Source organism: Homo sapiens, chromosome 10 (assembly GCF_000001405.40).
Source record: "Homo sapiens chromosome 10, GRCh38.p14 Primary Assembly".
Lineage (NCBI taxonomy): Eukaryota > Metazoa > Chordata > Mammalia > Primates > Hominidae > Homo > Homo sapiens.
In genome coordinates, this window is record NC_000010.11 from 132,138,519 (window position 1) to 132,159,697 (window position 21,179).

The window sequence follows — 21,179 nt, forward strand, 5'->3', positions numbered from 1 at the left end:
AGGAATCAGTCTTTGGAGATGAAAAAACAATTTTATTATTTCTAAAAATTGTTACTGTGAAATGACCAAAATAGGACCCAAAGAAAATATTCTGTTTATCATTTTTAATAAACTTGTTTCTTTCAAATTTCCAAGAGAAGATAGGAATTGGTAACAACCATACCAGCAACACTAGCAATGAAGAGGTGCCGGCTCTGGTGTCCTCACTGCCTGTGTAGGGTCCGAGTCCCCACGACCTGTGGGATGCACGGCTCTGAGGACGGGCGGCTGAGGCTGCTCACACTCACCCATCCTGGCTGTGCCACACACCCCACGCTCGCCTGTCCTGCCGTTCACCGTCCTCGGCCACACTTGCAGGCTGTGGCAGCCTCATCCACAGGCCCCACAGGGCAGACCCACGTCCCCAGGAAATGTGAACACCTGTCATCATTTCTCTACAGTAGAATCCTTTGTGATAAACCTATGATTTTTATTAAGGGAGGCTTTGGAGCAGCTGCCAAAGGACCTAACTCATCTCCTGCTTTATGTTGAGTGTGTGTGTGTGTGTGTGTATGTGTATGTGTGTGTGAGTGCGTGTATGTGTGTACATGTGTGTGTATGCATCTGTGTGTGTGTGCATGTGTATGTGAGTATGAGTGTGTATGTACATGTGTGTATGTGTCTGTGTATGTGTGTGTATGAGTGTGTGTGTGTATGTGTGTACATGTGAGTGTATATGCATCTGTGTGTGTATGTGTGTGTGTGTATGTGTGTACATGTGAGTGTATATGCATCTGTGTATGTGTGTGAGTGTGTATGTGTATGTGTGTGTGTTTGTATGTGTGTACATGTGAGTGTATATGCGTCTGTACGTGTGTGAGTATGTGAGTGTATGAGTATGTGAGTGTGTATGTGTGAGTGTGTGTGTGTGTTTGTGTGTACATGTGAGTGTATATGTGTCTGCATGTGTGTATGTGTGAGTGTGTGTGAGAGTATGTGAGTGTGTATGTGTGAGTGTGAGTGTGTGTGTGGCTTGTAAGCTGTCAGCAGTGTTTTCTCGCTGTTAGACTGTGAGATGCTCCTCGGTCACAAACACTTGCCCTCTGAAAGGTGGAGAGGAGGAGCTGTCCAGGCTCTCCCCGCTCGGGACCCCTCTGGGATTTGGAAGTGTCCAGCAGACGCCTTGGCCCTGTGAAGGGAGGACACAGGGTGTGGGGAGGCACACAGGACAGGGGCCAGTGGTTGGCGGGGAGTAGGGGAAGTCGGGTGGCCCTGGGGTCCCTGAGGGAGTTTTGCTGGAAGGTTCTGGCAGAAGAACTGGGAGGAGACCTGGAGGCCACTGTGGCCACGGCAGAAGGGACTGAAGAAGATGGCGGGCTTTCCATTTTGTAACACTTCTGAAGGGGACCCAGATGAGTCCCTCTTCGATTCTTGAAGGCAGGGGTGAGGGGGCCCTAAAGATGCAGACGTCGGGGTGAACCTGGAGGGTCCCCAAAGGCAGGGCCTCTCACACCAGCTGGCGGAGGACCCCGTTTTTGTTTGTATTCCAATCAGTCAAGGACTGAAACTTTAAAAAATGGAACAGAAATGCATCACTGGGAATGAGATCACACAGGGAAGGCACCCATCGTCGGTTCTGTTAACCCGGGTACCACCCTCAGGGAACCGCAGGGACGGTGCCCCACGAAGGGCCTCATTCCCCACCACCAAGGGCAGGGCCAGGACCCGCTCACCCACGGGACTCCAGGCCCCTTCCCCACCCGCCCTGCCAGCCTTGCCATAGAGCGCCCCTCACACCCAGGCCACCTCCTCGGCCTGTGCCAGGGACAGAGATGGGAGTGTGTCGCAGGGTGGGGCTGCGGCCCCCACCGTTGGGCAGCGGGAGGAGGCGGCGGGAGGAGGCGGCTGTGCCTGGGTCTGGTTTGAACTGACACGTCGCATTTTGGTCACAAGCCGGTGGTTGTGGAGACCTTCTTTGGATACGACGAAGAGGCTTCCCTGGAATCCGACGGCTCCTCCGTCTCTTACCAAACAGACAGGACGGACCAGACCCCGTGCACCCCGGACGATGACTTGGAGGAGGTAACGAGGGTCTCCTGCCGGGTCCTGGGCTTGGAGGAGGTAACGAGGGTCTCCTGCCGGGTCCTGGGCTTGGAGGAGGTAACGAGGGTCTCCTGCCGGGTCCTGGGCTTGGCTGGGCATGGGCTGCCGGCTTTTCACGGGGAAGCCCTTCGCGGCCCTCACTGGCACTGACCCGCTGATAGCTGACTCGGGCACGGTGAGAAGCTCCCATGACATGGCTTGGGGTGTGGGCTGAGGCCCGCTCTTGCTCCCATGAAGGCCAAACCATGCCTCCTTCTGCCACTGAGCCTACGCCCCTTCTGCATAGGGGTACGGTGAGCTCTCCCTTCCTAAGGGGCCTCCCCAGGAGGGTCTGAACCACTCATCAGGGAGTTTGGTCTCAGTGCCAAGAGCACATTAGGGTGAGGGGTGTTGAGCAGGAGTTTTCTTTCTGATAACAGCACAGGTGTGTCTGCCCACCAGCCCCTTCTTCCAGAAGGACGGCTACCCTCAGGCGCAGGCAGCCATTTCAGCACCAGGTCGGGGCTTGGTGTTGTGGGACCCAGACCCTGTGGCTGTGGGACAAGGAGTGGGGTCTGCAGTCAATGGCACAGCCAAGGATTGGGCCTCCCGTGGCAGACCCTGGAGGGTGGCCCAATGGCCATAGACCTGTTGAGGGATCTAAGACATCCTCTCACAGCCTCAGGTGCAGGGTTGGGCAGGGGAACTGGGCCAGGCCAAGGCTTCTGGGCTCAGTCACTCCTAGACGTGGCCAACCCTTCCAGCCCCGGGGGTCCACCGGGACCCTTTGAAGGCAGCAGCAGGCTCACCTGTCTTCTCCCTGGGGTGACGGGGGGCACTGCAGCTAGCAGGGTGAGCCTGCAAGAGTGCACCTGGGAGGAGACGTGCTGCCTGGGGTACTTTACCCCCTTCACAAAGCCCAGCTTTCTTCCCAGGACGTGTTTCAGCAGAGCAGAGCGTGTGCAGGCCTGGTTGGTAACAGAGGGTCTGCTGGGTCAGGGCAGCCTGGCTAGCAAGCAGGAGCCCCAGCTGAGCCCCTGGCCATGGCCACCAGCCCAGCAGGCTCACCCTGTCCTCAGCCGTGCAGCCGACTCAGCTCCCACCCCAGGGCTCGGTGCTCCCCTCCCCAGGGAAACCTTTCTCCAAACAGCACTGAGTCCCCAGGCAGCCGCCCCTCCCTGCACACTGGAGCAGGTCCCCTCCCTCATGCTGCTAGAGAGACCCCCCCATACACCATTTGATATCTGGGGAGAAGGGAAGCCCCGGGGCCCCGCCATCGGAGGAGGTGCTGGCTACTGACACTGTGTCTCTGTGCGTGTGTGGCATCCGTGTCTCTCCAGGGCATGGCCAAGGAGGAGACGGAGCTGAGGTTCCGGCAGCTGACCATGGAGTACCAGGCCCTGCAGCGTGCCTACGCTTTGTTGCAGGAGCAGGTTGGAGGGACGCTGGACGCAGAGCGAGAAGTTAAGGTCTACGTGACTTCCACCGCGCGTTCCGGCCCCCCTCGTGCCTTCCCGCTTGACCCCGTGGCCTGGGCTGGGACACCCCCCTCACTAGCCCTCCTGGGCCCGGGCCCCTCCTCTCCTGCCCTTGCCTGCAGTCCTGGTGGTGCCCATGGAAGCCGATCAAAACCAGGGATTGGGGATCCCGGTGCTGGGAGTTGGCCCAGGTGGGAGGGACTGGCCCAGAGCGGTGCCAGGCACAGGTGTGAGTAAGGGTCCTGGGGGAGGCGGGGTGGTAGTGGTGGCAGGGGCCCACAGCGCCCAGGGTGGGCCTCCTTCCAGACCACCTCTTCCACTCTTGGCAGCATGGCGATGGCCCGTGGCAGCATCGAGCTCGGTGTTGAAACTTGTGGAGGTCATTCATCCTCAAAGGCTGAGCTCACACAGGCTGTGCCTGCCCCGGCCCCGGCCCCGGCCCCTCTCCCCCGGCCTCCCCACTGGGCAGCACCCCAGCAGCCGTGTCCCTCCGCCCACTTCCCTGGCTCACCTTAGCGTCGTCCCCCAGGAAAGGCCTCAGTGTGGCTGGCGGGTGCCCTCTGCGGGCCGTGGAGGGCAGTGCAGGCACCAGGCCTCGTGGGGAGAGCGTGGGCCATGGGTCGGGGGTCCTCTTGCCGCCCCACCCTCCCTTACTGAGGCTCGGAGGGGAAGCCGCTGGAGGACCTGCACCTGGTACCCCTCACAGCGAGACGGGCTGCTTTCCGGGGGAGCTGAGGGGTTCTCCAGAGCAGGCAGCTGTGGGGTGTGGGGTTCCCGTTGGCCTCCCCACCCCAAAACCACCCTGCAGGGCCAGAGATGCCAGTGTCTGGCAATTCTGCAACTTAGGGTGGCTGAGCTGGGTGGGGGACGGACCTCTTGGGGCGAGGGGAGAGTGTCCACAGAGCATCCCCAGCGTGGTCCACGCTAGTGCCCCAGGGAGCCGCCAGCCTCATCCTCTGTCCACCCAGACCGCCCTGGTGACGTGGCTGGTTTCCCTCCTGCCTTCCTGGCACCTCATTGGGGACGTCTGTTGTGAAAACTAAGAGAGAGCTCCACCCCTCTGTGCCCTCCTCCTGTCCTGAGTCGGGGTGGGGGGGGCTGGCCTTGGAGGGGGCGTCCCCTCCTCAGGCTCGGAGAGATTTGTCTCCGTAACTGGGGACTTTAAATATCGCCTCTTTCACTTTGACTTAATTTTTGCATGACCCTTGGAGAAAGGAAAAAGTCAAGGCCTCGGTTCAGAGCATCATAAAGCACAGCAGCCCCGAGACATCCCAGAGCCTCATGGGCCCAGCCTTTCTCCCTCACAGCGGGGGCGGGGCAACAGCCGCATCCTCCTGGCCAAGCTCGCCAGGAGCTGGAGGAGCTGGAGAAAGCATCCTGTCTTCCCTTTTTCCTGTCGGGTGCCAGAGAAACATTTGCTCGGGGGCCACATGGAAGCAAAGAACTCAGAAGCTTTGCTTAGAGAGTAAAAATGTCCAAACTGCATGTAAAAAAAAGTTTAATGTCATTTAGAATCAGAGGAAAATCTGATGCCGAGAAGTGCTGCATGGTTATTTTAAAAACTAGAAGATACAGAAAAGATTAATGAAGAAAATAGACTAGCCGGCATCCCACAGTCTGATTCTGTATTATAATTGGAAATGTCACTCCTCACTGTGGAAATCGAGGAAGCCTCAGGATAAGGAAGGGGGCAGGAGAGGACAGGCGTCTGAAGACATGGACGTGGGCCCATCCCTGCCACGGTCCTGAGGCTGCAGGGGGCCCACAGCCCTCTGTGGGCTCCGTTTCCCTGTCCGGAAACAGGGTTAGGACTAACTGGAATTCCCTCTCTGCTAAGCATTCTCCAACCCAAGGGCTCACATCCACGATTGTGACCCCTTAAGGGAGGGAAGAGGCTGGGGTGATGGGAGGAGCCCAGGACGGCCTGGGGGCAGGGAGCTGGGACCAAGCACTCGGGGGCGGGCACCACAGGTCACGCCTTCGCCCACCCCCCACCCCGGCTGATGGATCCTCTGACCCTGCGTCCTGTCCCGAAACGCACCTCTCCCTTGGAAGCTATCCCCAGAGAGAGCAGGAGCCACTGTGGCCCCATGGTTCGGAGCCACCACAGCAAAGTGAATTAAGGGAGGTGGCTCAGACCTCGGCTAGAAGCCTCGGTGGCACTCGGGAGGGACTTCACAAACCAGGATGCGGACGGGGGAAGCGCCAGGGCTTTTCCTGTAGATGTGGGGCGGGCTCTGGGAGTCAGTTAAGGAACACAGAATTCAGGAAGGCAGTGAGCCCTGGGCTGAGGCAGCTCCCGCACAGGCAGCCACACCACCCGGGGCTTCCAGAGGGGCAGCTCCAGTACAGGCAGCGGCACCACCCGGGGCTTCCAGCGGGTCCATGTGGAGAGTCCCTCGAACAAAGCCCTCTGGCCGGCACCTGGCAGGGCTGAGCACACGCTAGGCCTCAGTCATCCTCATTGGCTGTGTCATCCTGTAAACAAAGATTTCTCCTAACAGGCTCTCAAAATCAACCTGCAGGATTTCCCCTTAGAATCTAAGTGAGATCTCTTGCTTCAAATAAGCCTTAAAGTTCTCCCTCCAGGGCTGGGCGCAGTGGCTCACTCCTGTAATCCCAGCACTTTGGGAGGCTGAGGCAAGTGGGTTGCTCGAACTCAGGAGTTTGATACCAGCCTGGGCAACATGGTGAAACCCCGTCTCTACAAAAAATACAAAAATTAGTGGGGTGTGGTGGTGCATACCTGTGGTCCCAGTTACTCAGGATGGTGAGGTGGGAGGATCACTTGAGCTCGGGAGGCGGAGGTTACAGTGAGCCAAGATTGTGCCACTGAGCTCCAGTCTGGATGACAGAGCCAAACCCTGTCTCAAAAAAAAACAAAACAGTTCTCCCTCTCTTAGAAAGCATCTCTTCCAAAGGAAGGGCGAACAGTCACTTCTCAATGAACTGAACCAAAAGACAGACCCTTCTGACGTCCCACGAGTGTGTGTGCTGTCTGTCCCAGCTTTTAGAGAAAATTTGATGTATCTTTCCTCCCGTCCTACAGACCCGTGAGCAGCTACAAGCCGAAGTGCAGAGGGCACAGGCGCGGATAGAGGACCTGGAGAAGGCCCTGGCGGAGCAGGGGCAGGTGAGCCTGCAGCCATCTGCACGGGCGTGGGGGCACACGTGGGTGGGAGGTATTTGGCTGTACCTAAAGACAAGCTTCAGTGGTGCGATCATAACTTTCTACAGCCTTGACCTCCTGGGCTCAAGCCATCCTCCCACCTCAGCCTCCTGAGTAGCTGGGACCACAGGCATGTGCCACCACGCCCGGCTAATTTTTGTATTTTTTGTAGAGACGGGGCTTTGCCACGCTGGCCAGACTGGTCTTTGGTGTTCTGCCACATCACGATTTAAACGTTGGTTTATGAGTTCCTCCCTCAGTGTCTTTATTTCTTTCAATTCCATTTGCAAGGATATGAAGTGGATTGAAGAGAAGCAGGCACTGTACCGGAGAAATCAAGAGCTTGTGGAAAAGGTGAGCCCCGAACCCCTGGAGGCCCTGGCAGGACTCGCTCTATGCTCCTGGGGGTTGCAGTGGTCCCTGCGGGGCTGAAGGATGGAGCGAGGGCTGAGGCTTCTGAATGGCTGTCCCAGGCCCCTTCTGCTCTGCTCCCTCCTGCGGGACCCCATCAGGAGCCCTGGGGAGGAGGATGGCCTGGACAGAGGGAGCTGGGGCCTGTTCTCCTGGGTCCTGTTCTCCTGGGTCCGGGCAGGCCCCTATCTGCAGCAGCATCTCCATTCGTGTCCCGTTGTGCTGATGGTTCTGTGGGTGGGCTGGTTAGAGCATCGTGACAGAGGAGCTTTATTGAGACCACTAGAATCATCCCCCTGGGAAGCCTGGCTGGGTCAGGGAAGTCTCCTTCCAGCAACGCTTGTGGGGAAGCTGAAGTCCTCGGGGAAGAGCCCATGGACCAGCCTGGCTGAGCAAGTGCGTGTTTGAGACTTCGGCAAGGCGTCACCTGGCAGGCCCAGGTCCAGGCTCTCTTGGTCCCAGATGACAAGAGGCTCCTGAAGTGCTGCCCCGCCCCCACCCCCACCCCCACCCCCACCCTGGCCCGGGCTTTGTGGTCTGGAAGACTATCAGACGTAAAACAGATCAGAACATGCGATGTGTGGCCAGGCTGCTCTCAGTGGCCTTAGCTTCTGCCTGAGGTGCAGGGAAGGGAGTGCAGGTTTCTCTCGGCACCTCCCACCACATCAGGCCCACCTGGCTCAGCTGCTCCCTGCACTGGGTTAAAGAGGGAGTCACAGCACCGAGGGCCCTAGACTTAGGTCTGGGCAGTCCAGGGCCATCCCAAGAGGGGTGCACCTCACAACTGTGGGAGCAGGTGATGTGGCATGAGGCAGGGGCGGGGCTGGCTACGGGTCCAGGGGCAGGAAGGCCAGCAGGGCTGTCATTACCACGCACAGGTGAGGGGTGCTCTGTGTGACCCCCACCCCACTTGTCCATGGGCAGGGACAGGTGTCCTGAGGAGGCAGCGATGTCTCACGCTGGCAGGTGCGGCCCTCTGGGGAGAAGCTAGGGTAGCCTGGCTGATGAGTCTGATCTGTGCCAACAGGACAGAGCTTCAGACAAACAGAGGCGTCCAATGCAGACTCTGCACTGCTGCCAGCCCAGGGCTGGTCGTGCCCTCTGGGGGTCCTGCTTTAGGCTTGGTTTGCATCTTGAATGGCGAACGACACCCCCATGTTTCCCGTGGACACACGGAACATCTCTTAAATTAGAAGTGCGTTTCCACAGGGCTCAGCACAGTGCTGTGTGTGCCACGTAAATGCCGGCACAGGCAGAGATCCACGTGCACTTAAGGGCACCCACTTGAACACGCACACACGTAAATGCCTGCGTGCACACTTGAACACGCACACACGTAAATGCTGGCATGTACACTTGAAGACATGCACACAGAGATGCTGGCACGCACATGGAAATGCTTGTGCACGTACACACATGCGCATGTGCACACTTGGAGCCATGCTTTTTTCTGGCTACACTGGGTGCAGATCACATTCCTGGCCCTGCAGGTGTTCCACGGCAGGCCCACTGTGCAGCAGTACACAGCTGGCCCTGCAAGGGGGTCCAGCTCCCACTGAGCCGGCTCACTCCAAGGATGCAATGCTTCTGAGTTTATCTTGGTCCCCTGAGCATCAGAGCAGGTCCCTCAGTCCCTGGAGCTCAGCTTCAGGGGATGGACACAGCTGTCTGCCCCTGGTGGCCCCTGCCCTCATGAGGCTGCTGAGGACACATGCCGTGGGCCGTGTCACTTGACCCTTTGGAAGGGGTGGGGGACTCCTGCATCCGGTTTACTCGTAACTGGTTCCGTTTAAACAGCTCCTTAATTAGCCAAGTGAATTCCGGTGGCCAGGCAGCCGTGGTACCCGCTCCTTCCATTGGGCACAGCCTGGGCTCCAAGGGGCACCCGGGAGCCACCTGGGACATTTACCCTCCACGGCCTCCCTTCCTCATCCTAGCTCAGAGCCCCGCTAAGGCCCCCGTGCTCCTGGCTTGTGATGTACAGCCCCTGCTGGAGACGTTTATCCTTGACGGCCTCCCTTCCACATCCCTGTCCAGGGGCCACCCAAGCTCAGGGCCCCGATATGATCGCCAGGCTCCTGGCTTGTGGTATGCGGTGCTGCCTGCCCAGCCCCACCCACCACCGGATGGCTAGGCTATCTCACTAGGACAAACCCAAACATACCGAGGGCTGTGAGGCGCTTCCAGGGCTGGGTACCAGGCCAGCCGGCCTCCCCGGCAGCCAGCAGCTGTCCCGTCAGCCTGGAGTTGACCTCCCAAGACCTCTGGTGAGAGAGAACCAGACCCCTCACCTCATGCATCTTTTATGTTGCAGATCAAACAAATGGAGACGGAAGAGGCTCGGCTCAGACACGAGGTGCAGGACGCCAGAGACCAAAACGAGCTGCTGGAGTTCAGGATCCTGGAGCTTGAGGTAGCTGAGTGGATGGCCAGCACTGTGGCCTGTGGCTGTGTCAGGGATCTAGTCCTCAGCCTTCCTAACCCACACAAAGCCCTGAACATGAACATGAACATGAACATGAACCCAAAAGGCTGCGTCAGGGAGGAAAGAGGCAAATGGCCGTAAACCGCCACCTCTTCATACCGGCCGTCCAAACATCCAATGGGGAACATGGGCCATGGAGCTCAGTGTCAGGCAGGGACCACCTCTTCATACGAAGGATGAGGCCAGCCGCCCAAAGCACGTGTAAATATGGGGGAAATGGCCCGTGGCGCTCAGTGTCATGCAGGGAAAACAAAACAAAAGCACGACGGGTGACAGTGCAGCATCTGCTCCAGACCTGTGGGGTGAGGAGCTGGCACGTCCGTCCTCCATCTGCCCGTCCTCCATCCGCCCGTCCTCCATCCACCCCCAAGGAGCCGGCACGTCCGTCCTCCATCCGCCCGTCCTCCATCCGCCCCCGTGGCCCTGCTGCAGCTGGTGTGGGGCTCTGTCCAGGCCTCCGCCGTCGGCAGACGTTTGTTTCTTGCCCCTGAGTGAGGACAGTGGGGGCCACGCGGTGACTGGGAGCCCTTTGCCTGTGCCCTGCCATCCCTGGCCCTGTGTCCTCTGCCATGACCTGCACAGGAGGAGGGAGGAGGGGAATCCCACGGGCAGCTCAGGCTGGGTGTGGGCAGCCACGTCGCTGTGATTGTTTCACGGCAAGGGTGGTCCACCTGTGGGGCTGGGAGGAAGTGGCCCACACAGGGGCCGCCCCTGCCGAGCACCACACACAGCCCCGAGGCCTCCGTCTCAGGCCAGCACCTGGAGCCTCACAGTCCAGCTGGAGCCGCCTCTTAAGAGTCTGCCCGTCCACTGCCGGAGGACAGGGCAGCTGTGTGGTCACTCCATGTGTGGACGACCTCGGCCACGTGGGCCTGCCTGTGGGGACAGTGGCAGCACTGCCAGCCTGTGTTCTCCAGAGGCTCCTCTGGTCAGACCTGAAGGGGATGCAACCTGCAGCCCCTCCCCTGATCCTCCCCATAGCCCCTGGGATTCACTGAGGGATGTGCCCGTGGGCTCAGGGTGGGACTGCCCAGGCCACGTGGCCAGAGTGTGATGAACTCTGCCCGGCACATCTGGGGTCAGCGAATATACAGGGGCAGTCCTTGTGGGCAGGTCCAGGTCCAGTGCAGATTCTGCCACCACTGCTGCCGCTGCGGTTTGGTTTTCATAAATGCTGTGTTGATCCCTGGTTCCATGGTCTTGGCCCGTGTTCCTCAGGCCCCAGCACAGTCCTCTTAGAGGGAAGGGATGGGAGGGGAGCGGCTCACCCTTCTGTCCCTCTGTCCTAGGAGAGGGAGAGGAAGTCACCCGCCATCAGCTTCCACCACACGCCCTTCGTGGACGGGAAGAGCCCCCTCCAGGTGTACTGCGAGGCCGAAGGTGTGACGGTGAGTCCCGCCCCTCCTGCCCACTCCGCCCCCACCTCACCCATCCCCCGCCCCACCCCCTCTCCGCCCCCGCCCCACCCCCCTCCGCCCCCGCCCCACCCCCCTCCGCCCCCGCCCCACCCCCTCCGCCCCCGCCCCACCCTCTCCACCCCCGCCCCACCCCCTCCCTGCCCCACCTCACCCCCTCCCTGCCCCCACCCTACCCCTACCCCCCCACCTCACCCCTGCCCCACCTCACCCCTGCCCCCACCCCGCCCTACCTCACCCCTGCCCCCACCCCACCCTACCTCACCCCTGCCCCCACCCCGCCCTACCTCACCCCTGCCCCCACCCTGCCCTACCTCACCCCTGCCCCTCCCCTCCCCCTCCCCCACCCCCACCACCTCCCCTCCGCCCTTCCCTGCCCTGTCCTTCCCCACCCCCTCTGCCCACCCCGTGGCCACTCACCCCTACCTGTCCTCTGTGCCTTAGGACATTGTGGTTGCGGAGCTGATGAAGAAGCTGGACATCCTGGGCGATAACGCCGTAAGTGTATGTCGCTCTCCTGGCTTGTGCATGCCTCTTACACCCACAACCCCCAGCCCAGCCCCTCTGGGGTCCAGGAGGCCCTGCCAGCCTCCCACAGCCCTGCCATGGGCCACCCTGCCTGAGACCCTCCACTAGGCCCAGAGCCTGCTCAGAATCGGAGCCTTCCTCACACTGCTCCAGGGCCCACTGGGGCCTCTGCTGTGCACACCTGGTTCTTCCAGCTGATGGCACTTCCCATCACATTGCCCAGCTTCTGGGATCTCTCAGCCCTTCCATACTTGCCATGAGGATAGGGGGCTGTTGCTCTTAGACAAACCAAGACCCTTAGGGGTTCCACTTCCTTGGCTTGGGGGAAAAGCAGACTCTATAGATAACTCCTAAATTTCATTTGGGGCAGAGTTCCAATTTCTATAGCAAACTCCTTGAAAGAATGTTAATTACTGAGTGGGCAAAATAATGCACCTCTTCATCCCAATTTTCATCCGCCCATTACTAATCCTCTGCTCTCCATCCATTTATTCCCCATCAATGCACCATCTACCTAGCCCTTCATTCATGCTCTGTCTTATATCCATCCATCTATCTATCCTGTGTAATCCATCCATCCATCCTCCATAATCCATGTATCCATCCTCCACAATTCATTTATCCGTCCTCCATAATCCATCTATCCGTCCTCCATAATCCATCTATCCGTCCTCCATAATCCATGTATCCGTCCTCCATAATCCATGTATCCGTCCTCCACAATTCATTTATCCATCCTCCATAATCCATCTATCTGTCCTCCACAATTCATTTATCCGTCCTCCATAATCCATCTATCCATCCTTCATCCTTCATCTATCCTTCATCCATCATCCTTAATCCATCCATTTATCCATCATCCACAATCTGTCCATCCATCCTCCATCTATCTATCATCCATCATCCCTAATCCATTCATTCTCCATCCTCCATCTGTCCTCTATCCACCATCCTCCATCCATTCCTTCTCCATCTACCATCCTCTACCCATTAACCTTTCACCCATCCATCCATCTCCCATTCATCCTCCATAATCCATCTATTCATTCTCCATCCATCCTTCCTTCATCCTCCATTCATTCATCCATTCTCCAAAATCCATCAATCCATCCACCCTCCATAATTTATCTATGCATCCTCCATCATTCATTCATTCATCCATCCTCCATAAGCTATTTATCCATCTTTCCATCCTTCATCCTTTATCCTTCCACCTATCCACATCCCCTCCCTCCATCCATCCATCTATCCATCCCTCATCCTACCTTCATTGACCTTCCACTTCCTCCATCCAGTGCTCTGCATCCGAGGACTCCCTTCTCCCCTTGCCTGCCCAGCCCCTGGGGAGCAGTGAGGCACAGGGCAGGGGTACTTTCAGCAGGGAGGCTCTGGGTGTGGGTCTGCTTCTCTCAGAGCTGGGGGCTCCACTGTGGTCATAGGTGGCCGAAGAGCCACAGCAGGGTGGCCGTGGACCTGACATCTCTGGGGTCCAGTCCTGGGTATCAGCCCCATCATGAGGTCTTGGGAACTGTATTGGGCAACTCTGATTCACAGTTGGAGAAGCTGAGTCCCCAAAGGCACTGCCCAGGGTCACAGAGCTGATGTAGTGGCAGAGTTGGGGGTACCCAGCCCCACCCAGGCCTATTTCAGGGTTCCTGCCCAGCCCCATAGCTGTCCACCAAGAGTGCCACTGAGTGTGACAGCCCTGCAGTCATCATGCAGCCTCTGAGGCCATTGTCACAGAGCCCAGGGACAGAGGAGGTTGGATACTGGAGGGCTCATGGCCAGGCTTAAGCTCAGGGGACCTGTGGAGATGCTGGGGAGCTCTTGACAGTGGGCTGACAGTGGCCCTTCAAGCCTGGCTGTGCAATCAGTGTTGACTTCACATGCAACTTGTGGTTTAATCACATCTGGGTAGATTCCCTCAGTCACCCTGAAGCCACCTGCTCAGCCTCCCCAACTTAAAGTGTTGGGAGAGGTCTGTGGCCTGCCCAGCCCTGCCATGGGAGAAGGGAGCAGGGCAGGAGAGATGAGGGCACCTGGCCCCAGCCATGCAGGATGAGGTTCTTGCCTGAGTCAGGAGTGCAGCTGGCCCCCACCATGGACTACAGACTGAGCCTGACTCCCCCCTGTGGGAGACCCTGTGCAGACTTTGGGGTTGGGGGACAGCAAGAGATGCCTGCTGTTAGGGAGCTTGCACTCTAGGGAGAGAATGGCATGGACAGGGCTTTTGGAGTGAGCTGGCAAGAATCAGAGAGGCCCCACGAGCTGGAGTCAGGCAGCCCTGGTCTGGATGCAGGCTGCAGCAGAGTCTGAGAGTGTGAGGTGCCCACATCGAAAGCCATAATCACTCTACCCAGAAGGGCCACCCAGGGGCCCCTCGGTTGGGGAGGAAGCATGAATAAAACATGCATAAAAGAGACAAAACCTTCCAGGGATTCAGCCATTTCACAGCCATGAACATGTGGTCTCTCCTCCACTGTTCCCAAGTGGTGTTTTAATAACCACAGGTGCATATGCAGAGGCTGGCTTTAAACACAGAAGGGGACAGAGGCTGGGCAGAGCAGCAGCCACTGCTGGGGATGTATTGGTGGCCTGCCTGCATTGAGCAGCGCATACGCATCTGCCTCAGCTGGTTACCTAGACCTGGTGATTACCAGCAGAGGGAGAATGAGAGAAAACAAAATCGGCAGCACCCGGAGGGAACAAGCTCAAGTCAAGGGTGTCAGAGATGCTGGGAGGGAGATGTCAGTCAAAGCACTTTTTAGCTCTGGCCCCCACCCAGGCGTCCCCAGTCAGCCTCCCCAGTCAGCTTCCCCATGCATCCATCACTCACCCTCACCCCCAAAGGCACTGCTTCTGACCGCACCTGTGTTCTGCTTTTGGGTGCAGAACCTGACCAATGAGGAGCAGGTGGTTGTCATACAAGCCAGGACAGTCCTGACCTTGGCCGAAAAGGTAACAGCAGCTGTGTGGACAGTCGGGAGAGGGCCGGGCTCCTGGGGTCTCCTGCCCTGCTCAGCTCAGAGGTGGTGATCTCGGGAGGAGGGCCTGCAGGGCCGGGTTTGGGGGGTCCACTAAGCCCCGTCTGCCCTGGGAGATCTGACACACTCAGGTCAGACAGCACCCACTGTGCATCTTTGCAAAGGACAGATTCGGCTCCACTTTGCTCTGTCACCAACCCTGTCTGCGTTTCCTCCCAAAGGCGGGAAGGTATGGTGAGTCTGCAGGCAGCGTTCTCTGTTCAACTTACCCTGACCCCCTTCTGGGGCCACCCAGCCCACTACCTGCTCCTAGTCCCACCCCTAGCCCTGACCTGCCTGGTGAGCTGGGCCTCCCACAGCAAGGAGAAGGGGTGCTCCTGGCACATAGGGGTTTGGAGAAACAGGCCACCCCTCCCCGCCTGTCCTGGCAGAGCTCTGCAGATGTGTCTCTCCTACGGTGCCCCAAGCTAGTGTCCCTCCTCTCCTGGAGAAGGTGTCAGGGGTAGACTTCCTGGACACCTGGAGGGTGGGAGGGGTGGGGCCATGATGCCAGCGCAGCCTCAACTCCCTGGAGAGGGCTGTGCTCTCCCCTCCCTAAGGAGAAGAGGAAGGAAGACCCAGGCTGTCCTGGCTTTTCTCCCAGCTGTCTCCACGAGCCGGGGTGGGGGACCCTAGGGGTCACTGTCCTGCTTGTTCTGTTTGTGTCCAGTGGCTCCAGCAGATTGAGGAGACAGAGGCGGCGCTGCAGCGGAAGATGGTGGATCTGGAGAGCGAGAAGGTTGGTGGCACCTTCACCGAGGTTCTGCGGCTCGGTGCTGCAGGTGGGACATCCGAGACCGAGGCATGGCCCTCCTGTGTTTCAGGAGCTGTTCAGTAAGCAGAAGGGCTACCTGGACGAGGAGCTGGACTACCGGAAACAGGCCTTGGACCAGGCCAACAAGGTGAGAGGCACGAGACTGCTGGAACCCCGGGGAGGGGCACTGGGCTGAAACGGCCACGTGGCTCAGGTGCCCAGCAGTGCCTCAGGTGCCCATGTGGGCCAGGTCGCAGGGCCCCTAATGGCCCCTAATGACACCTGCACAGCAGGCTCTGGCTCTCCAGAGCTGCCTGATGGGGTCTTCACTTGGAGCTTCATAAACGGAGCAGGATTAGTTGAGGAGGCCTAAACCCACACTGTGCAGTGAGAATGTTCTACAGCCTTTGTGCAGGTCACTCAAGCACAGAAACATGCCCGGATTCCTGAAGGCCATCCAGGTGTTGGTGTGGGCTGGTGTCTACCTCCCACCCTTCCCCTGAGGAACTGGAGAAACTGGTGGCTGTTCTGGGACAACAGCCTGCTCACTAGTGGGAGGTGTGGTCTTGTTCTATTTCATCTGGTGTGGCTGGGAGGAGCATAGGACGTTTCTAGGTTGAAAACTAGGCTTCAGAACTGGGTTCCCCGCTGGGAGCTACTTCCCCCGTGACTGCACAAGCAAAATCATCTGTCCCTGCTGGACTCCTATCACGTGACGGAAGGTACGACCAGGAGGATATCAGGCCATGTTGTGGAAAGACAAGTGTCACCACCAAGAGGTTCACCTCGGGACCCAGCCCAGCAGGCAGGGTCTTGACCCTCATGCCTGTGAGGAGACCTGCTTGGCTACTCAAAGCAAGGGAAAGTGGGCTGGGATGAAAATGCTCATTCCTGGGGCCAAGTTCAGCCTGGGAACTCTCAGAGTGATAGTGATGATAATGGTGATGATGACAATGGTGGTGGTGATGATTGTGCTGGCAATGGCAATGGTGATGGTGGTGGCGGTGGTGGTGGTGATGGTGGTGATAGTGGTGGTGATGATGATGGTGATGATCGTGATCATGATGACGGTGGTGGTAGTGGGATGGTGATGATGGTGATTATGATGGTGATAATGGTTATCATGATGGTGATCATGATGGGGATGATGGTGATTATGATGATGATGATAATGGTTATGGTGATGATGATGGCAATGATCATGATGACATGGTGGTAGTAGTGGTAATGGTGATGCTGCTGGAGGTAGTGATGATGATGGTGGCGATGATGGTCATGATGATGGTGATGGTGGTGATATGGTGGTGATGATCATGACAGTGGTGGTAGTGGTGGTGATGATGGTGATCATGATGGTGACAATAGTGATCAATGATGATGGTGATGATGGTGGTGGTGGTGATGAGGATGGTAATGATAGTGTTATAATGACAGCCTACTCAAGAGCCTTTCCTATGTGGCAGGCACTGGTCTGGCCAGCCAGGCACAGAAGCTGGTGACCTGCCCAAGGACACGCAGTCAGAATGAAGGCAGGAGTCGAATGTCAGCATTCTTCTCCTGTGCCCACAGCCATGACTGCTGCACTAGGCATCTCTCCTTCCTGCACTTGTGGATGTGAGTTCCTCACACAGAGGGGCCAGGGCTCAAACGCAGAAGCCTACAGAGCAAAGAACAGCCACACCAGGCACCTAGCATCCTGGGTGGGGGTGTAAGGCCCATGTCAGTTGCTGTGGAAGCCAGTGTGTGAGCCATGGGAGGCTTTGGAGGCAGATGACCTGGGTTTGAGGCCCAGCTCAGCTGGTAACCACTAGGGATTGGGAGTTCCTGTAAGATGCTGGGCATGGAGGCTGGCCCTGGCTAAACTGGTAATGGCCCTCCTGTTGCTATGGTTAGTGTCACTATTGCTGACCAGCAGTGTGCACATGACTGCGTGGGAGCAGCTCACAGGTTGCCAGCTGTTCTTCCTGGGCCACTGTCCTCACGGCCTCTGAGTACTGAGAGCCAGCCCCGGGTGAGCTGGCCCCAGTGGTGGTGAGACCTGAGTCCCTCCAGGTGGCCGGGGACCTGTGCAGCACGGAGCATGTCTGTCCACCCTGCTCATGGGGCGGCTCCCAGGCACAGGCTGCTGTGCGCTTAGCTTACCCAGGCAGTCCTCTGGGCCTTGCATGCTTTGGTCAGAAGGAAGGAGGCTGGAAGTAGGTGGTCACTTGATGTAAAAAGCAGAGGCCCCTCAGTGCCCCAGACCATCCAAACTGCAGCCAGCTGACACTCCTCTGCCCGCGCCTTCTGGGACTCCCAGCTGCCCTTACTGGAGAGACCTTCTTGCTGAGGCGACAGGTCCTGCAGGCTCCAGGCCCCCGCCTCCCTCCCTCGGCTCAGTCTCTGTCCCCCGAAGCTTCTTGGCCTCTGCTCTCCAGCCTCCTCGTACCCCCTTATCCTCCTCCATCCTGCTCATGCTGATTGCTGGCATGGACAGGTTCCTCTCTGCTGGATGAGGAAGAACCCTCTAGAACAGTGCTCTCCCACGAGCACCAAGGCCCATGTTGCTGCCCGGGTGGAGAGGGCTGGGATCCAGCTAGGGATCAGCCTAGCTGGCAGGCATCTCCACTGCTGTGCAGCCACCACCACAGCAGGCCGGGAGACAGAGGACCCCACCCAGCCTTCGCTGCTGCTGTTCCATCTGCCTGGGGCGCCCTCCCTTTCCTTCTCCTGCCCATCCCTGATTGACACTGCAAGCCTCAGTTTGGTACCTCGTCTCCTCTAGGAAACCTTCCCTGACCCCCAGTGAGGTGGCCCTGACATGCCCCACTCATGGAAGTGGTTCTGCCTTTCTATGGGGCAAGCAGGGACCATGTGCATCTGCTGCCATCTGGTCTCCTAGACCAGCACGAGGCCTGGCAGGCAGCAGGTGCTTTGCGGGTGATGCATAGGTGAAGAGGAAAAGAGCTAAGGATTATGCGGAGGTTTTTAAATCCAGCCCACCTTGAGACAGGAGAGGGAAGAGAAGGACATGCATTTCTTTTTTTAATATTGCATTTTTTTTCTGAATGAAAGAATAATCAATGTATAGTTCTGATTTACAACACAGAAAAATCCAAGAAAAAAGTTCACTACGTGCCCAGCACACAGAGAAAGACTGTGGGCATTCTGGTTTCTCTCCTGATGGTCTCTTGGCAGGATGGGGATACACATAGTATCTTTGCAAAAGCGCGGTCCCCATGCTTATCTGAGGCTTGTTCTCCGAGAGATGGTCATCATGCCAATGGTAGGAAATGTTCACAGTAGAAAAGGACATTTTCTTCCCGTTCCTGTTCTCTGGACTCCAGATGCCACCAACAAAGGGGACCCCACTTGCTGGTTCTCTTCTCCTTCTCTGAAGTGCGGGGTGTAACCACATGTGTGCGCACGTGCATTTTCATGGATAGCCTGAGAAACCCACCAGCTGCAGCATGCTTCCCTTTCACCTGACTGTGCACAGCCAGGGCGCTTCCCACCAGCCCAAGGAGTGACTTGGTGTGAGCGCATCATGGACTGTTCATCCCCAGTAGTGGACTTAGGTACTGTCCATGCATTAGCTATCACCAGCAAAACAGCAATTCCTATCCATTTCTGACGTCCCGACACACAAATGGAGATTATCTGCAGGAAAAGTTATTTGGAATGACCAAAGGGTATGCACACTTAAGGTGTTGTTAGGAACTGCCGAATATTTCTCCCCATAGTAGGTATAACTTGCAGCCCAAACTTCCACTGCATGATATGCAGCCGCCTGGTGCAGTCCTAGCAGGCATGTCTCTGGTGAGCTCAAAGTCTAACATGTTTCTATGCAACTCCACGCCACGTCTGTTTGTAACCTTTCCCACCTCTCTCATGCTATCTGACATTTTGGTCAGAGCTCTTGATAAAAGAAGGCAACCAGCCCTTTGCCATCCATTGCAAATATTTCCTTTATTTCCTTAGTCAGAAGAATGGGACATGGCAAATATTTCACCCAGCTTGTTGTTGCTCTTTGATATCAAACACTGTTTTGAGGGCCTGGCAGAATTTGGGTAATTTTTACGAGGTTGATGGCCTCCAGGTTTTATGGCATAATTTCAACTTCGTACAGAAAAAAAAAAGAGATTGTACAAAAAAATTCCAGTGTTTTCTTTCAGCATTACTTTGAGGTGTGTGTGAGGCAGGTGTAAAGAGGAAATGGAAATTTATGCACCTCCAGGATGGCTGCCCACCGCCCCCCCGCCCCGCCCCGCCCCGCCCCGCCCCCGGCAGCATCTGTCTACTCAGCCATCCACCTTTTCCACCCTAACGTCACAGATAATTCCCCTTTGTAAGATTGTGTCTGGAGTGATGCCTCAGTCCCAGAATCCCTCCACTGGGTCGGGAGAGTTGTCCCATGAGTGGAGAAGTGGCCTATGGGCCCCCTTGACCTGACCAGAATGCAGGATCTGAGCATAGAGAGCTCCAGGAGTGGGGGCCCTGGCCCAGAGCAACTGCCACCATGGTCCTTGTGATCAAACATCCCATGGACACCCCATGGGATTAGAGATGTAGGTCTCCACACACATTTCCAGAAGATCAAAGCCCAGCTTCAGCTTTCTGTGAGGCCACCTCTCTCTGCCACCTCCACAGTAGCTGTGTTCTCAGACCTCAGATGGGGCCAACTGCTCAGGGGATCATTCAGCCCCAAAGACCAGTGGGGAGGCACATGGTTGCTGGTTGGGCCAGGATTAATGGCCCCTACTCTGGAGGGGACTGGGGGCATCCTCCTGTGAGATGCTGTGGGAGGAGCATCTTCCTGTGAGATGCTGTGGGAGGGGCATCTTCCTGTGTGATGCTGTGGGAGGGGCATCTTCCTGTGTGATGCTGTGGGAGGGGCATCTTCCTGTGTGATGCTGTGGGAGGGGCATCTTCCTGTGTGATGCTGTGGGAGGGGCATCTTCCTGTGTGATGCTGTGGGAGGGGCATCTTCCTGTGTGATGCTGTGGGAGGGGCATCTTCCTGTGTGATGCTGTGGGAGGGGCATCTTCCTGTGTGATGCTGTGGGAGGGGCATCTTCCTGTGTGATGCTGTGGGAGGGGCATCTTCCTTTGTGATGCTGGGGGGGGGGACCTCTCGCTGTGTGATGCTGGGGGGGATCTCTCGCTGTGTGATGCTGGGGGGGGGCCTCTCCCTGTGTGATGCTGGGGGGGGTCTCTTCCTGTGTGATGTCAGAGGGCCCTCTCCCTGTGTGACGCTGGGGTTGTGTCTTCCCGTGTGATTCTGGGGGCGTCTCTCCCCGTGTGATTCTGGGGGCGTCTCTCCTTGTGTGATGTTGTGGGGGTATCTCTTCCTGTGTGATGTTGTGGGGGCATCTCTCCCTGTGTGATGCTGTGGGGGCATCTCTCCCTGTGTGATGCTGGGGGGGCCTCTCCCTGTGTGATGTCGGGGGCACCTCTTCCTCTGTGATGCTGGGGGCGCCTCTCCCTGTGTGATGCTGAGGGCGCCTCTCCCTGTGTGATGCTGAGGGGGCCTCTCCCTGTGTGATGCTGGTTGGGGGGGGTCTATTCCTGTGTCTTACTGAGGGGGCCTATTCCTGTGGATGCCGGGGGTGTGTTTTTTCTGCGTGATGCTGGGTGGGGGGGCTCTCTTCCTGTGTAATGCTGGAGGAGGCTCTCCCTGTGTGATGCTGGGGGTGTGTCTTCCTGTGTGATGCTGGGAGGGTCTCTCCCTGTGTGATGCTGGGGGGGCGTGTCTCCCTGTGTGATGCTGGGGGCATGTCTTCCTATGTGATGCTGGGGGTCCTCTTCCTTTGTGATGCTGGGGGGCCTCTCCCTGTGTGATGCTGGGGGGTCCTCTCCCTATGTGATGCTCAGGGG

General features: G+C 57.6%; 1 protein-coding gene across 48 annotated transcripts in view, besides 5 other annotated features; it reads left to right on the forward strand.

The window, feature by feature from the left end:
* JAKMIP3 (Janus kinase and microtubule interacting protein 3) overlaps nucleotides 1-21,179 on the forward strand; it is a 148,495-nt gene that overhangs the window by 102,155 nt on the left and 25,161 nt on the right. For 21 of the 48 annotated variants that reach the window (NM_001392043.1, NM_001392055.1, XM_047425106.1 and 18 more), the window contains 10 exons: nucleotides 1,933-2,061; nucleotides 3,402-3,530; nucleotides 6,589-6,672; nucleotides 7,000-7,062; nucleotides 9,434-9,532; nucleotides 10,894-10,992; nucleotides 11,464-11,517; nucleotides 14,440-14,505; nucleotides 15,241-15,309; nucleotides 15,395-15,472. In NM_001392043.1, the coding sequence (NP_001378972.1) occupies nucleotides 1,933-2,061; nucleotides 3,402-3,530; nucleotides 6,589-6,672; nucleotides 7,000-7,062; nucleotides 9,434-9,532; nucleotides 10,894-10,992; nucleotides 11,464-11,517; nucleotides 14,440-14,505; nucleotides 15,241-15,309; nucleotides 15,395-15,472 (870 nt within the window). The other 27 variants (XM_011539676.3, XM_047425107.1, XM_047425109.1 and 24 more) reach the window with 10 other exon arrangements.
* Nucleotides 3,130-3,977: an enhancer, noted in NCBI's record as "H3K27ac-H3K4me1 hESC enhancer chr10:133955152-133955999 (GRCh37/hg19 assembly coordinates)". NCBI's record gives its function as "activates a minimal SCP1, AML or CMV promoter by ChIP-STARR-seq in naive H9 embryonic stem cells {active_cell/tissue: H9 hESC(naive)}" and the evidence as "EXISTENCE:reporter gene assay evidence [ECO:0000049][PMID:30033119]".
* Nucleotides 3,978-4,824: an enhancer, noted in NCBI's record as "H3K27ac-H3K4me1 hESC enhancer chr10:133956000-133956846 (GRCh37/hg19 assembly coordinates)". NCBI's record gives its function as "activates a minimal SCP1, AML or CMV promoter by ChIP-STARR-seq in primed H9 embryonic stem cells {active_cell/tissue: H9 hESC(primed)}" and the evidence as "EXISTENCE:reporter gene assay evidence [ECO:0000049][PMID:30033119]".
* Nucleotides 7,387-7,888: an enhancer, noted in NCBI's record as "H3K4me1 hESC enhancer chr10:133959409-133959910 (GRCh37/hg19 assembly coordinates)". NCBI's record gives its function as "activates a minimal SCP1, AML or CMV promoter by ChIP-STARR-seq in primed H9 embryonic stem cells {active_cell/tissue: H9 hESC(primed)}" and the evidence as "EXISTENCE:reporter gene assay evidence [ECO:0000049][PMID:30033119]".
* Nucleotides 7,889-8,388: an enhancer, noted in NCBI's record as "H3K4me1 hESC enhancer chr10:133959911-133960410 (GRCh37/hg19 assembly coordinates)". NCBI's record gives its function as "activates a minimal SCP1, AML or CMV promoter by ChIP-STARR-seq in primed H9 embryonic stem cells {active_cell/tissue: H9 hESC(primed)}" and the evidence as "EXISTENCE:reporter gene assay evidence [ECO:0000049][PMID:30033119]".
* Nucleotides 8,810-9,772: an enhancer, noted in NCBI's record as "H3K4me1 hESC enhancer chr10:133960832-133961794 (GRCh37/hg19 assembly coordinates)". NCBI's record gives its function as "activates a minimal SCP1, AML or CMV promoter by ChIP-STARR-seq in primed H9 embryonic stem cells {active_cell/tissue: H9 hESC(primed)}" and the evidence as "EXISTENCE:reporter gene assay evidence [ECO:0000049][PMID:30033119]".